General features: G+C 39.4%; 1 long non-coding RNA gene across 1 annotated transcript; it reads right to left on the bottom strand.

The window, feature by feature from the left end:
- Positions 1–6,067: 6,067 nt before the first annotated feature.
- LINC02483 (long intergenic non-protein coding RNA 2483) lies at positions 6,068–14,558 on the bottom strand. Its single transcript, NR_033964.1, has 4 exons — positions 14,519–14,558; positions 13,247–13,316; positions 10,464–10,653; positions 6,068–6,910 (listed from the first exon to the last, which is right to left on the bottom strand). It is a non-coding gene; the product is annotated as a long intergenic non-protein coding RNA 2483 (long non-coding RNA).
- Positions 14,559–17,307: the final 2,749 nt, after the last annotated feature.

The raw sequence follows: 17,307 nt of genomic DNA, 5'->3' as shown, positions 1-17,307 counted from the left end.
CTTTTTCTTTACACATACAATGGGAAGTAGCGTTATACCTATCCTGTCTACCTCACAAAACTGTTGTAATAATCAAGAGCCCTGCTTGATTGGACTTTTGTTATTTGTCTATTATGGGGTGCAGTGAATACTACTTGAACAATGTACATTGAGCAGGATTATTATGGAATGAAAGAAGATGAATTCCCAAAGGAAGAAATGTTGGACAAACAATAAATACATGTCCAAAAGAGTTAGCTTCTAGAATCCAGGCATGCTGTGCTATCTCTCATGCTGGAGGAAAGTTGCCAGTTTACTTTTATTTATGTGATGCAAAAGTTAGTGGAAGAACGGAGGGGATGTTAAATTATTTTCAGAGATATAAAAATCCTTGGTAAAGCTTCAAGTTCCATTTAGCTTTTCCCAGGAGGGCCAGACTTAACTTCCAACCTCAGAATCAAAGAGGGATCTAAGCCAGACCTCAGGTATAGTAAGCAGAACTGAAATGAGACCTTTGTTGTCTTAGTTAACTCAGTCCACTGTAACAAAATACTATTAAACAGCAGAAATTTATTTCTCACAGTCTAAGCTGAGAAGTACAAGATCAGGGTCCCAGCAGATTGGGTGCCTAGTGAAGGTTGGTTCAAAGATGGCTATATTCTTCTTGCATCCTGATGTGTGGGGGATAGAGAAAGAGAGATGGAGCAAGCTCTTTTCTTACAAGGGTACTAATCCCATAATAAGAGTTCTACCTTAATGACCTAATCACCTCCCAAAGGCCCCATCTTCAAATACTATCACACAGAGGATTAGGGTTGCAACATTTGAGGCTACACAAACATTAAGTATATAGCATTTGTTCAACATTCTCATGCTACAATAAACAAACTGAGATTCAAAAAAGGGAAATGAGGGGAATTCCTGAAGGAAGAAATGTTGGACAAACAATAAATACATGTCCAAAAGAGTTAGCTTCTAGAATCCAGGCATGCCGTACTATCTCTCATGCTGGAGGAAAGTTGCCAGTTTACTTTTATTTATATGATACAAAAGTTAGTGGAAGAAGGGAGGGGAGGTTAAATTATTTTCAGAGATATAAAAACCCTTGGTAAAGCTTTAAATCCCATTTAGCTTTTGCATCCAATCACAGAGCTAATCAGTGTAAGATGGGGACCTAGATCCTAGGTCCCTTAGCTGCTGTGCTGAGAGATCCAGCCATATCACAATCAGTTGTAATGTATTTCCAATTAATTCATTGTTAATAAGAGTTTAGGAAATGAGATTTTTGAATGATTTACTTTTTTGTTTTAACAACATGAGAGCAAATTCAAGGTTATCCCTACATTCATGGTAATGTCCTGTACTTATATTTCATTATTTCTGGAAGGAAAGAAAAGGTGATGAGGATTACAGTGAACCTTGGATAGGTCCACGGGAGTATTTTGTATATATGACCATCAGCTCTGTCTCAACAAGAAAAGTCTAAATACTACAATGTCAGCCCATATAATGTTCAAGAGAGCCTCTGAGAGCCTTTCCTTATGTAATATTTTTTCCTCTAAAGGAAAAAAAGTGACTTCTTTTCCCTGGACACAATGTTGGATTGAGAAAGATTGGTATGCCTCTGAGCACCACTCAAGAGACATCAGCTATTTTTTTTTCTTTTTTTCTTTTATTATTATTATTATTATACTTTAAGTTTTAGGGTACATGTGCACAACGTGCAGGTTTGTTACATATGTATACATGTGCCATGTTGGTGTGCTGCACCCATTAACTCGTCATTTAGCATTAGGTATATCTCCTAATGCTATCCCTCCCCCCTCCCCCCACCCCACAAAAGGCCCCGGTGTGTGATGTTCCCTTTCCTGTGTCCATGTGTTCTCATTGTTCAATTTCCACCTATGAGTGAGAACATGCAGTGTTTGGTTTTTTGTCCTTGCGATAGTTTGCTGAGAATGATGGTTTCCAACTTCATCCATGTCCCTACAAAGGACTTGAACTCATCCTTTTTTATGGCTGCATAGTATTCCATGGTGTATATGTGCCACATTTTCTTAATCCAGTCTATCATTGTTGGACATTTGGGTTGGTTCCAAGTCTTTGCTATTGTGAATAGTGCCGCAATAAACATACGTGTGCATGTGTCTTTATAGCAGCATGATTTATAATCCTTTGGGTATATAGCCAGTAATGGGATGGCAGGGTCAAATGGTATTTCTAGTTCTAGATCCCTGAGGAATCGCCACACTGACTTCCACAATGGTTGAACTAGTTTACAGTCCCACCAACAGTGTAAAAGTGTTCTTATTTCTCCACATCCTCTCCAGCACCTGTTGTTTCCTGACTTTTTAATGATTGCCATTCTAACTGGTGTGAGATGGTATCTCATTGTGGTTTTGATTTGCATTTCTCTGATGGCCAGTGATGATGAGCATTTTTTCATGTGTTTTTTGGCTGCATAAATGTCTTCTTTTGAGAAGTGTCAACATCAGCTACTTTTTTGTCTCCTTTTTTCCATCTGGAGTCTCAGATCTCGCTGAATACTTCTGTTACAAACTTCACTCATACCTTTATTTATTTCATAAATATTTAGAGAGCCTATATGTGTCAGACACTAAAAGGTATAGATTACCAAATAAAGGGATGTTTTACTAATGTTTTATACTGCTATATTTTAGGTTCCAAAAGTGAGTAAAAATAATTTTTATTAAAAAAATTAGAACAGTAGACTATGGTGTGCTATTTTCATGATTAGCCTTCTTTGGCAAGCTATGCTGTCAGACACATTAAAGCACTTAGTGGAATAGAATACATTTAAGTGGGTAGTCAATAAATATTGATGATGATGATGATAGCATTCGCAGTGAAAAGTATGAAGTAACCATGGCACTTTGCAATTTGTGGTAAACAATGGCAATTAGCAACTTCTGCTGTTGTTGTCTTCCAGGCAAGTGCCTGAAAACATTAATTAACTGGAGAGATTGCTGCAAAGTTTCTTGGTAACAGGCAGCCTTTAATCAGCCAAGCAGTGGAAATCGGTATGAGCTGGATGTTTAGAATAAAGCATTAATTGTATGAATTACAGTGTTTCATCGTAATTATAAGTCATCAAAGAGGAATCCCTTGGGAGAGAAATATCTGTGGAGGCTATTATGGAGAGGTCAACGTGGTACTGAGGACTGGCCAGGGTCAGTGTGGACTCTAGTGTTTGCTTTAGTCACCATTAAAAAGTATCTGTGCTGAATCATGATGGCATTGGATCTCAGTTGTCCCATGGCTTTTGTTGTTGTTGTTGTTGTCAGTCAGGTACTCCGAGGGCATGGGTAATTGATAACAGGACTTTGAGTCAAGTACAAAGGAAGAATAGCTGCTCTAATAATGTTGCCCAGGAACTTGAATCTGTTGGCAAACCTGGGGCTCGTTGTGTTCCCATCTCACATAATTATTTGTTGAAAGGATAGATGAATTCTTTCTTTCCAGATTACTAGGGTAATGGGATCCTTGGCCAACCTAATAGGCTCAGATTTTGTACATAAATCTATAAAATCTTATATAATGTGTCCTGACAAAATTTTTACTAAGCCCATTTTCTTTATTTCTAAATTAGTTTGCACAGGGAGATACTTTAAATCATATGTCAAGCAGAACAAGATCACTTGATATGAATCTGTCCTTCCAAGTCTTGGGCAAGAACCCATCCAGATTTGCATCTTTGGAGTATTTATTTCAGATTAGGACTTGAATAACAATGTGAAACATTATCAATATTGTTGTTGTTACTTGCCACATCTGCTTTTTGAGGGAGGTGCAGCCAGGGCAGGAAATGATAAACTTCATTGGGGGTAGGGCTGGATTTGGGCTGAAGTCTGTGTTGGCATAGAATCAACTCACTGGGATGAGAGATGATGTAAGTGGGCCCAGGATTCCACCAGCGGAGAAGGGAAGAATGACCAGACACAAATTATATCACAGTAATTTTTTCCCCTAGAAAAAAACATTATTTTATAGTTATGTCATGCTTTACAATAGCTTAGGTGCCCAGACCCAACTCAAATGGCTCCAACAGCTGCCTGGAGAAGGCAGCTAATCTTCACAACCTTTCAAAGGGGCAGCTTTTTACTCCTTTTCACAGATGATAATAGACAAGGCACTTTACAAAAGCTTTGCATGAATGATGATCTCATTGAATCCTCAAAACAAACCTGTTAGGTAGATTGTATTACTATCTCCATTTCACACATGAGAAAACTGAGGCTTAGAGATGTATGTAAATTGCCTAAAGATTCACAGTCACCCCAAGCAGTCCTCCCTGAGAACCCATGTTATCATGCTGACCCTTTGTTGACCAGATGAAGGAATGAGGCTCAGAGAGGTTCAGCAAATTACTTAATGTCACACAGTAAGTAGCAGAGTTAGGATCAAACTTAGGTCAACTATTTCTAAGTCTAACGTTACACCTTTTCTCATCCCTATGAACTTGAAGAATAAAATATATCAACGGAGTATCACGGTGGTGTATTTATCATTTGAAACAGCTCCCTAAGTGAGTCTGATAGACATAATTTCCATTTATATTCTCTAGAAAGTAGAAACTTAGGCAAATCTTATGTGCTAATGCTTTCTTGGGAGGTGCAATTCCAGGATAACAAGAGTAAGGAAAGAAGGGGCTTGGGGCATGGAGGGAGGCTAAGTAGATATAAGGTGACCACACCTTCATGAGGAAACAACCAGGTGCTCAGTCATGTAGTATGCCTCCAGCCAAGCCATAGAAAACCCACAGCACCTCAGAGAAAGGAAGTAAGAAGAATTTCTCTGATGGCTTTTTCCTGTTTTCTGTCTCTTAACATTTGCCCCATAGGGCACTGGCTCCCTTGCAGTTCTGGTTTTGTATCTGGACTCTGTGGGCAGCTTCTGGAGAAGCTAGAGCTTCTGTGGACCTGGATGGGTTGAGGTGGGCACCTGAGCTGCTGTTGCTCCTGCCAGAATCTGGTCTTCACCCAGGGCAAGGCTAAGTAAGACAGCTACCAAGGGTAGAAGATGAAGTGGCTGCGGGCCTGCCTAGGAGGCCGACAAGGCTAAAATGATCTGTAAGATGCATAAGCTCTGTCTCTGTCCTCTGACACCTGGCTCTCATGTGGCAGTACTGGGTCTTCAGTTTTGTAAGACCAAGATGCCCCTATTTTTTTCTCTGACATGGGAGGTACACATCACTTGGTCAAGGAATCCACATAAGTTGCAATCTCCTAAAGACACTTAAAGAGGGTTAATGAACTAAGCCACAATTCCTACTGCTGTAGCTGATCCCAATAATATAACTGATATTCTCATTTTAGATTTCTTGTCTCCCCAGGAAAGCACATTTGCTGGTCTTGGTTGCTAGCCTGGTAGGAATTCCAGTTTCATCATCACTAAGTGGTTTGAGTCCTTAGTGGCTTTGTCTGTGGTCTATAATAGTTATTAGAAAACAATATAAGTATTAAAGGATACCCTGCGATTCCTCTGGGTTTGAGACATAACCCTTTCTATTCTATGATGGAGTAGACATCCCAACTCCTCATGGTAATCAGTATTGATTACCTCAGCAAGAAGTAACTTTTCTTTGCCTGGTTGTTCATGGGCATGATTCCAAAGTGGCCAGGTGGTAATGGTTATTGCTTTCAATTCAGTGGAATCCTTATTTTGTCACTTGGTTGAAGTGTTCTTCACCTCTTCCCATCCCCCATTCCAAATAAGAACTAGGGACTCCATCTTGGCAGAGCTTAACTTTTCAGGACAAGAAAGATAAATTCTGCTAGGAAGCGTAAGGGTGAGAGGAGCTACATCCACTTTCACCCATTGATTCCTAGATTCATGTAGTTTAGCTATTGGAGACACAGTACCATACATAGGCCTTTGATTTAGGGCATATGCAGTTGACCCTTGAACAACATGGGTTTGAGCTGCTTGGGTCCCCTTATATGTGGATTTTCTTCCACCTCTGCCACCTCTGAGATAGCAAGACCAACCTCTTCTCTTCCTCCTCATCTTCAGCCTACTCAATGAGAAGATGATGAAGATGGAGACCTTTATAATGATCCACTCACACTTAATGAATAGTAAATATATTTTCTCTTCTTTATGATTTTGTTAGTAACATTTTCATCTCCCTAGCTTATTTTATTGTACCAATAGAGTATATAATACATATAACATAAAAACATGTGTTAATTGACTGCTTATGTTATTGGTAAGGTTTCTGGTCAAGAGTAGGTCATTAATAGTCAAGTTTTTGGAAAGTCAAAAGTTATTCACAAATTTTCAACTGTGTAGGGGTCAGTGCCATTAACCCCTACATTGTTCAAGGATCAACTATATTATATCCTGGAGAACAGTGCCCCAACCCTATAAAATGTTATTCCCATGCAGACTCTTCAACTGAGTCTTCAGTAAGCTCCTCCACTGTTCTGTCAGGCTGGCTGTTTCTGGTAATGGGGTAGATAGTAGGACCAGGAAATCCTATGGTCATGGGCCCACTCTTGTACCTCCTTAAGATGAGAGGTTTGAGAAGACATAATGCAGAGTGCCATGTTGAGATTAGGCATCCTATAAACTCCCAGTTGCTGGAGCTGGCAGAGGCAATGAAGGCAGGGAAGGTGATATGAAGTAGGTATAGATTCTGATAAAGATGAGCTTCTGTCCCCTTAAGGTGGAGATGTCCAGTGATGAATGGTGTCATATCAAGGGCTGTGTGTTGTTCTCTTCATTGAGGGATTGAGCACTCAGCAGTGGCAGTTGCTGGCTTAGACTTGGTGGAAGGGAATCTATGTTGTTGATCCTGTGTAGACCTGCCATCCCTGCTGCCATAGCTGCTTGGTTCAAGGGTCTCTTGAGGCTTGGCTGACTTCCATAAAATATGTGATTCCATTCATCTGATGTTTGAGTTCCTCTTCTGCAATAGATAATTTCTGGTAAGCATTCATGTGAGACACAAACATCCACATTTTGTGCCCACTCCCATAAATCCATCCATAGACCTCACCACAATTCGTAGTAACCAATCTTTCAGACTTATTGCCTTCAGTGCTCTGAAAATTCAGCCAAGGCATTTGTTGATGTCTAAGTGCCTGTTTCATCCATATCTCAGGCTAATTCTCTAATCAAGTTTACAGCTTGGAAATCTCCTCACTGGGAGAATCTCTCCTCATCAGTGTTTTCTGGGGCTTCTCTGAGTAGGGCTGTATTGTGGTGGTGGTACATTTCTAGCTAGCACCAACATAACTGTGAACTGGGCCTAAGTCTTTTCTTCTTCTGATGTTTGTTTATAGAAAACTCTTCACGAAGCCATAGGTATGGATGGAAGAAAATGCACCAGTCCAATAGCAGTAGGAGCCTGGGTATTCTATGCATTTGAGTATCTCACATCTTCTGGATCTGCCTAAACCCAGTCGCCAAGTACCACAGATATTGTGACTTACTGATTCCCCCAGCTCATCAAGCCTACCTCCGGTTGTTTTGTCACGTGGTGTTCCAGGTGGGTGCCCAGTCTCCAGCTAGTAGCATGTCAAGAGCTGTTTTTCAAACTGAGAGTAGTTCTCTGACAGAGGTCATGGTCTTGGTCCAGAGCCATAGGGATCTGCACTGCAGTGTCTAGGGATGCAACCCTGCTACCCCTCATTCCTTTTTGGATTATCCTAACTGTGTTTATAACTGGCTTGCTCTTCTGAACATAATGTCATCATTGCGTATGACATCACTATAAATTATTGGAAAGGTCCAGGGCCCTTTATTTGTGACCATTTAGAGAGTATTGGCATTTTATTTTAGAGCCATTTTGTCAAGCCCATCAAATAAATTAACATATACATTTCATTTGGAGGAAACAACATGTTTGCACCTCAATACGGACAGAAAAAGGGAATGAGGACTGAGAAAGAGAGAAAGAGGAAGACCATTTTGCAGTTTATCAAGATGTAATAACACCCCTTATAATCCTCTTAATCTGAGAAGGCTGGAGTGAGAAAATGCATTAGAGGAAAAGTATTAGCTTAGCAGACACAGATAATGTACAGGCAGATCTTTACTGTAGGCTGAAGTCAGTGGTCACGCATGTTAAGATCCTGTTTGGGCAGGGAACTGTGAGTGGTGCACTTACTTTGTTCAGCGCATTCTGCCTCATTGTGAGTGTGCACGGCATTTCTTTATGAGAGGCTGTGTGATCCCCAATGCTGCCACCCCCTTCCCATCCAGTTCTGGAGCATCTCCCTCCCAGATATACTCTCTTCACCTTGATATACCTTGCTTCCCGCAGAGCTGTCTTCTTTCCATGACCCCAACCCTAATCCCCAATGCCCACTCCTTCTTTTTGGCCCTTGGTATCAGTCATTGAACTGCATTTGGTTTTCCCCAGGATGAATCTGGAATAAGAAAAGATGAATTGAAATGCTGCTCATTGGTCCAACCTCAGGAGCAAGTATCTACACTACAATTATATCTTTTATGTCAACATACTTCCTGGGTGTTTTCATGGAGAGGCAGCATAGTATAATGGCTAAATTAATGAGTACTGAAACCAGATTGCCTGGTACCAAATCCCAGTTCTATTGCTTAGCTGTGTGACCTGGCGCAAGCTTTTAACCTCTCTGTTTCTCAGTTTTCTTATCTATAAAATGAGGAAAATATTTGACATATGTTTATATATGTTATTCTATAACATCTATATTATACTGTGGGATTTTGTGAAGATTAATAACTTAATGTCTATAAACTACTTAGAAGAGTGCCTGACATACCCTAAGTGCCTTATAGGTTTACTATTCTTTCCTCTTATTATTATGCTAAAAGTCAAGATGTTTTCTCTTTTTCCAGTTGCATTTCAAAAAAGATACTCTTTTGCTATCTCACATGGTTTGAAGCCAGGCTTCAGAAAGCAAGGGGATATAAACCATGCTCAAAATTGGAGGTGGAGGGGAGAAAACAAATCTAATTAATAGAAAAAGCCCTGGCAAGCTCATACGTAAAGTGGTAGGAGAGACTAGAACACTTTGTTAGGCTGGAATGTGAAGACATCTTAATTTTCCTAAGAGCACTAATGAAGCTGCATAGCCAAGGGTGGACATATAAATGATTTATTCTGGTAAGCTTGATCATGACTGCATTAATCATTTGAATACTTAATGATTTACACACTTGAAGAAAGGAAGGCTGGGAGGTCTCAGAACACTGTTAGATTCTTCTCCAATTTTTTATCATTATTTGTTATTTCCATTTTTAAGTGAAGGAAAAAGTTAAGTTACTCTTTTATTTTCGAAGATAATGTGTTTGGTATATTGCAATGTTTTTACATTATGAAGATGTTCATAACAAGTTAACAAACACCAAGAGATAAAATTTTCTTTCACTTTATGCACTTAAAACAAAATTAGAGTTTTATTTTGCAGTTTCATTTGAAGAGGAATTAAAATTCAAGAATAAGCTCAGCATGTTGCTATAGATGGAGAGAGGACTGAGGATCAATCAGCTGAATTTCATGAGTCCATGGTGCCAAAGATGGTTCATTACTACATGCATTCAGATGTCCTCCCATAGACACACACGTACTAAGAGCAAAAGAACTTATTTATTTACTTTTAAAAGGCCTCTGTTCAAATGAAGTTTTGAATTTCAAAAGGAAGGAAAAAGCAAAGCTGTTTCGTATTGACATTTAGTAAGTACTTAAATGTTTGTTTGATATTTCAATTCGGTTAAGCTATATTAACTAGTTATAGATCATGCATATAAATGATTGCAATTATTCTTTCTCGTATACATGTCCCTTTGCAAAGGGGCTCTGTAGCTCCTTTCTTCAGGAAGTGGAATCTATCTCCCCACTCTTCGAATATGAGCTGGGCTTGCAATTTCTTTGACTAATGAAACACAGTGGAAGTAATACTGCTCCAGTTTCAAGTCTAGACCATAGGAAGCCTTCCTTACTTCAGTCCCTTTTGGAACCCCCTAGCCACCATGAAAAGCCAGTTGGCTTCTGTTCAAATAAAGTTTTGAATTTCAAAAGTAAGGAAAAAGCAAAGCCATTTCATAGAGTATTGACTTTAGTAAGTACTTAAATGTTTGTTTGATATTTCAATCAGGTCAAGATATAACTTGATGTAGATCATGCATAATGTAAAACATGGCTTCATAATGTAAAAAGATGGCTTTTTGTGGGGGCTAGGGGGATCCAAAAGGGACTGAAGTAGGAAGGGAACCAGAGGCTCACTAAATACCACATGGCCCAGCTGCCCTGGTGACAGGTAACTATCTGCCAGACATGTGATTGGGATCATCCTGGCCGGGGCTACCCAGAGAAGCAGAGCTGCCTAAATCTGACTTGCAGCTGCAAAAGCGAGTCTAGCCAATGTCAGAAGAACGATCCAGTTGAGCCCAGGCCAAACTACCAACCTGCAGAATAAGTAAATGGAAGTTGGTATCTGGCTTGGAAGAAGAGCTAACATTTTCTGAGTGCTTACCATGTGGCTCTATTTGAAATGTTTTGCAGTTATTGACTCAGTCCTGATAATGACCGTGCAATAGGGTTGCAGGTGAAGAAATTAGCCCCTGCTCATTGATAATGAGGTAAAGACCAAGGTAGACACAGCCAAATTTCTTTGCAGACTTTCTCAGCTGAGATTTCTCTAGAGTCGGGCTGGCAAACTTGTCCTGTAAACAACAAGATAGCAAGTATTTTAGGTTTTGGAGGCCATATAATCTCTATCACAACTATTCAAACTTACCTTTGCAGTGTGAAAGTAGTCATACATAATATGTAAGCAAATGAGCCCAGGGTTCCAATAAACCAGGTGGTGGGCTGGATTGAGCCTGTAGATTTGCTCTTCTCACCCCACTGTAGAAATGAAGCACTAATGACATAAGACACCCATTGAATGTAATAAATTAACCTATCTCCTATGCATCTAGCATGGTATCTAAGTCTGTATCATACTTTAGAGAGTTGATGAAACAGTCACACAAGTCATTTTCAGCAGGCTTTAATTCTCCCGTAGAACTTCAGTTGAGAAAGGCATGGATGCCAGTTTCATCTTAAATATGGTACCTTTTGTGATGTGGGTGAGCAATGGATGATCTGTTTTTGTGTCCATTTCCAATGGGAGGAACAGATCCAGTCCCAGGAGAATAAGGAAGAGGCTTTTCTTTTTTTTATTTTTTATTTTATTTTATTTTGTTTTTTATTTATTTATTTTTTAAATTTTATTATTATTACACTTTAAGTTTTAGGGTACATGTGCACAACGTGCAGGTTTGTTACATATGTATACATGGGCCATGTTGGTGTGCTGGAAGAGGCTTTTCTAGAGACCCAACAAATTTCTCCTGGTGCCTCAGCTGGAATGTGTCACATACTCATTTCTGAGCCAAGTCATAGCAAGAGGACTGGATTGCTCTGGCTGGCTGGGACTACTTAGTTCCCACTCGTGGAATTGCAGTTGGATCAATAGTTACTTAACTGCTAATTGACACAATTTTTAATTTTTCCTCTCACTTGAATGATAATTCAAACTAATTTTCTGTTAAAACTCTGAGTGTATTGCTCCACTGTCTTCTTGCCTCCAGTAGTGTTCTTGTGAAGTCTAATGCTAATCTAATTTTTGTTATTTTGAAGTGTAATTTTTAAAGATTTTGGATGTTAACGAAATTTTTGTGTTTATTCCTATTGTCAAATTTTATTATGATTTGACTAGGAGTGGGTCTTTTTTCACATTTATCTTCCTCAGTAATCAGTGGGTTCTCTGTACATGTGAACTCATGTCATTCTTTGGCTCAGGAAAATTTTCTACCATTATTCATTTAAAAAAATTTCCATTCTTCAATTTTGTCTTTCTTACCTTTGAACTTCTATGATATGGATATTAGGCCTCCTCTTATCTTTTCTCCTTGTCTTGAACTGCTGTTATGGGTTGAATTGCTGCACCTTAATCCAGCATGACTAGTGTTCTTGTAAAAAGAAGAAATTTGGACACAGACACACACACAAGGAGAGCACCATGTGAACATGGAAACAGAGGTCAGAGTGGTGCATTTACAAGTCAAGGAATGCCAGAGGTTTCCAGCAAACCACCAGAAGCTAGGAGAAAGGCATGGAACAAGATTCTCCCTCACAGCCCTCAGATGAAGGCAATCCTGCCAACACTTTGATCTTGGGCTTTTAGCATCCAGAACTGATACAATAAATTTCTGTTGTTTAAGCCACCCAGTTACTGCAGTGCTAGGAAGCTAATAAAACAGTGTTTACATTCTTCATTTAATTTTCTGTTTCGCTGTGATCCAGAAGAATTAGCCCTCTTAGCTCATTAATTTGTTCTACAACTGTTCTCAGCCATTTATATTTTCATTTTCAATACTTATAATTGGTTCATTTTTGTACCAGCCTGTTCTTATTTAATGAATACAACAATTTTTTCCTGTATCAGCCTTTTTTCCTTTGAGATGTATTAGATAAGATTATATTTAGCTGCAAGTAACATAAATTACCACCAACTGTAGCTTAAACATGTAATGGGTTCATTTTTGTTGTGAATTAAGAAGTCTAGGAAGGAGCATCCAGGGACCCGTTTCCTTCCATCTTTTCATGCTACCATTCTGAGCACATGCACCTCATCCTCAGGTATGCAAGATGGCTGCATACCTTAGCACTGGGTATACATTTTAGGCCAGAGAAAGGAGACAAAATAAAAAAAATTGATGTCTATATTAGTATAACTGGTGCGTATGACAAAAATCTAAAATTATAGTGATGTAAAGCTTATCTAGTTCTTATATTAATGAAATCTGGAGAGCTGACATTCTACCACATGACACCAGGAACCTATGCTTCTTTTATGTTTTTGTTCTGTCATTCAAAACCTGTAGTTCTTTCAATATAATTCATCTTGGTTGCTCAAGATCCAACCATCATTTCTTTATCTGAGCAAGCAAAAAAGTGGAAGAAGAGGAGGGGATAAATGGTCCTTTTATAGTTTCATCTTGGAAGTTGTCCACCACACATCTGATTATGCCACCACACATTTGATTATTGCCCAGAACTTAGTCATGTAGTTACACTTAGCCACTTAGGGGGCTGCAAGGGTAAATGTAGTCTATATTTTTTCTCACTTGGGTGGCCATAGGTCTGGCTAAAATCAAGGGTTTCAAAATGAATACAGAAAAGAAAAATGAATATGAGGAGACAACTAGCAGGTTTTGCTATAATTAGGAAAGGAAATGCCCAAAAATACTCAGCAGACTTCTATCTCACCAGCCAGATCTATATCCTCTCATATGCTTGAGCAGCAGTGTTCTGGTCAATCAATCAGTCACTGAAGGTTCTGGTAGTAAGGAAGAAAAAGAGAATGGATATTGGGTAGGTGTCTAGCAAAGTCTGCCACACTTGTATACAAGTTCCTCAATTTGTGGAGAGATGTTCCCTTCATGATATTTATTTTTCTTTTTAATTTTTTGGGCATTTTTAATTGATATACTATAGTTGTACGTATTTTTGGGGTACATGTGATATGCTGATGCTCGTATACAACGTGAAATGACCAAATCAGGGTATTGAAATATCCATCACCTCAAACACTATCTTTTCTTTATTTTATTTTATTTTTATTATTATACTTTAAGTTCTAGGGTACATGTGCACAACGTGCAGGTTTGTTACATATGTATACATGTGCCACGTTGGTGTGCTGCACCCATTAACTTGTCATTTACATTAGGTATATCTCCTAATGCTATCCTTCTCCACTCCCCCCACCCCACGACAGGCCCTGGTGAAACACTTATCTTTTCTTTGTGTTTGGAACATTACAATCCTTCTCTTCTAGCTATTTTGAAATATAGAATACATTATTGTTAACTATAATTTTTCTGCTGTATGATTAAATACTGGAACTTATTTTTTCTATCTAATGGTATTTTCATAGCCACTAACGAACTTATTGCTGATTCTCAGTTATACAACCCCTCCTCTTTCAGTTGGCATGCTAATTTCTGAATGTCAGATTCCTTTGGTGTGTCTACGAATGTTTCATCTGCTTACCACAGACTGCCTACAGTGATTTCAGGGCAGAAGGACTGTCTGTAAGGCAACATGGCCTGGTCTTCTGGTTGTGGAGAATTCACCCTCCAATCTGGGTTCTGCCCAAGAGCCCATGCGTACTGCCCAACCTGGGGGCTAATGACTCCACTAGTCTACCACCTGCTCATCAGGGAGAAGGAGTGACCTCTTAGATGGTCATTTATTGGTGCTTGGACAAATCTTCCCAAGAGTTCATCTCTAGGGTCCCTTAGAGTCCTCTTTATTTCCTACCACAGAACTTGGGGCATCCCTGCAACAGTTACCACCTTTTGCAGAAGTTCTCTAATATACAGATTTGGGGCATTGTTTTTGATTTTAAATTCACTCTCATTTGTGTTCTATACACAGATATTTCTCTTAATTTCCAGTCCCCTGAGGGTATCTCTATTGTAGATAAAACAACAACAAAAGATTTTCTGTCATCTCTCGGATTAGGGGCAGACCTGCCTGTGTACTCAGCCCAGTCACCCTCTTGGTTCAATCCTTCATTATAATTCTCTACTGTACATCAGACAATAAGAGGTTAAACATAACGCTGATGTCATAATGGGTGTATTCGTTTCCTTTGGCTACTGTAACAAATGGCCACAAACATGGTGGCTTGAAATAGTAGAAATTTATTTTCTCACAGTTTTGATGGCCAGAGTCTGAAATCCAATCTGCAAAGTCTAGGGGAGAACCCCTCCTTTCCTCTCCCAGCTTCTGGTGGCTCCAGGAGTTCCTTGGTTGTGGCTGCATCACAACAATCTCTGTCTTCACATGGCTTTCCACTCTTTGTCTTCTCTCCTCCTTTTATAAGGCTTCTTGTCACTGGATTTAGAGTTTACTTGGATAATGCTATCTGCAAAGACCCTTTTCCAAATAATGTCACATTCACAGGGTCTGGGTATTAGGATGTGAATATATAATTTTTGGGGCTGTAATTCAACCTACTACAAGGGGCTACCCCCAGGCAAATAAGTTGAACATTTGGCAAATAAGGTTAAAAATACTCTTGTGTTATAATTGACAGCGTGAAGTATCTCCTGGAGTAGGTAAACATTAACATTATATATCACAGAATGAATACCAGCTCCCACGCATTCTTTAAAACTCTCTCCAAATTCTCTCACTTTGTTACCTTATCTGTAGAGGTAGCTTATAAAAAAGCAAAACAAAAAAATATTCACTTTCCAGAAATCTTTGACTGTCACTATTTGTAGTATCCTCATGTTCTGAGAAGACTGAAGACTAGATCATAGCAATAAAATAAGTTGTTCTTTTCCTTACGTGGACTCTAAATCCTATACCAGCATTCACCCAGTGATTATACATGATTTCCTCTTGTGAGGCTAGAGAGAAAGCCATAGAAAGAATTGAACAATAGTGAACCCACGTTGGCCCTTTGCACTACAGGTGACTCCATCACAAGTAACACTTTTCAAATTCATGCCCAGCTGCTATCATCCCTCAGTAGCTGATTCCCTCAGCAGCAGTCTCTCTGGGGCTCTGGTTTAACCTAGCTTGGGGGTCATTTCTGTCTTTTACAAGAGGCAGTCGCATCTTGCTATGAAAATTTCTTACAAAATAGTCTAGATTCTCTGCTCTCCTCAAATACTATCTATGGGATGCTTTTATTCCCCCACCTGGGGACAACTTGCAGGTAGATGGAAATAGGTGTGACTGGACTTTTCTGAGGCAGATTTGTCAGTCATCTAGTGTTCATAGGTAGTGCTGATAAGAAAATTTTCTCAAGGATGTGCAAGGTTCCTTGGGGAACAGGGAAACTGGGTTTGGGATGGTCAGAACACTGGGCAGCGTCTGACATTTCTGGCCCAACACTAGGACTAGTGCCTTCTGATTTCCACCACTCCAAAGGTGGTGAAGGTGCTGCGGAACTGAAGATGGGTTGTTTCTGATTAAAGAACCCACTTTAGCAAGAGTTTGTGGTGCTCCACTTTCTCCTCTCTGGGACACCACTGGGCAGAAGTGAGGTGCGCCGCAGGGACTATGAAGGCTGATGTTAGCTAAGGCTTAATAAGACTTAACACCCTGGAGAAACAGGGAAACTGGGTCTTCAATCCATTTCATTGCTCACGGTTCTCTGAGCCTCGAAGTAGGAGAGACAGCCAGAGAGTGAACTCCATTTATTAACAAGATGACTCAAGACTGATGGAGAATATGCAGAAAACTGAAACTGAACTGCTTCCTTACACCTTATACAAAAATTAACTCAATTAACACACCAGGGCCTGTTGGGGGTTAGGGGGTGAGGGGAGGGAACCTAGATGATGGGTTAATATGTGCAGCATATCACTGTGGTATGTGTATATCTATGTAACCAAAACCATAAAAACCCTAGAAGAAAACCTAGGCAATACCATTCAGGACATAGGCATGGGCAAAGATTTTACGGTGAAAACTTCAAAAGAAGTTGCAACCAAAACAAAAATTGACAAATGGAATCTAATTAAGCTAAAGAGCTCCTGCATAGCAAAGAAACTATCATCAGAGTGAACAGGCAAACTACAGAATGGGGGAAAATTTTTGCAATCTACCCATCTGACGAAGGTCTAATATTCAGAATCTACAAGGAACATGAACAAATTTACAAGGTAAAAACAAACAATTCCATCAAAAAGTGGGCAAAGGATATGAATTGACAGTTTTCAAATGAAGACATCTATGTGGCCAACAAATATATGAAAAAAAGCTCAACATAACTGATCATTAGAGAAAGGCAAATCAAAACCATAATGAGATACTCTCTCACACCAGTCAGAATGGTGATTATTAAAAAGTCAGGAAAAAATTGATGCTGGTGAGGTTGTGGAGAAACAGGAATGCTTTTATGCTGTTGGTAGGAATGTAAATTAGTTCAACCATTGTGGAAGACAGTGTGGTGATTCCTTAAGGATCTAGAACCAGAAATAGCATTTGACCAAGCAATCCCATTACTGGATATATACTCAAAGGAATAGAAATCATTCTACTATAAACACACATGCACATGTATGTTTATTGCAGCACTATTGACAATAGCAAAGACTTTGAACCAACCCAAATGCCCATCAATAATAGACTGAATAAAGAAAAATTTGGTACATATATACCATGGAATACTATGTAGCCATAAAAAGGAATGAGATTATGTCCTTCGCAGAGACATGGATGAAGCTAGAATCCATCATACTTAGCAAGCTAACAGAGGAACACAAAACCAAACACCACATGTTCTTACTCATAAGTGGGAGTTG

This window comes from Homo sapiens, chromosome 4 (assembly GCF_000001405.40).
Source record: "Homo sapiens chromosome 4, GRCh38.p14 Primary Assembly".
Classification (NCBI taxonomy): Eukaryota; Metazoa; Chordata; class Mammalia; order Primates; family Hominidae; genus Homo; species Homo sapiens.
The sequence above is the reverse complement of the archived record's forward strand: the minus strand, read 5'-3'. Positions and strand labels throughout refer to the sequence as shown.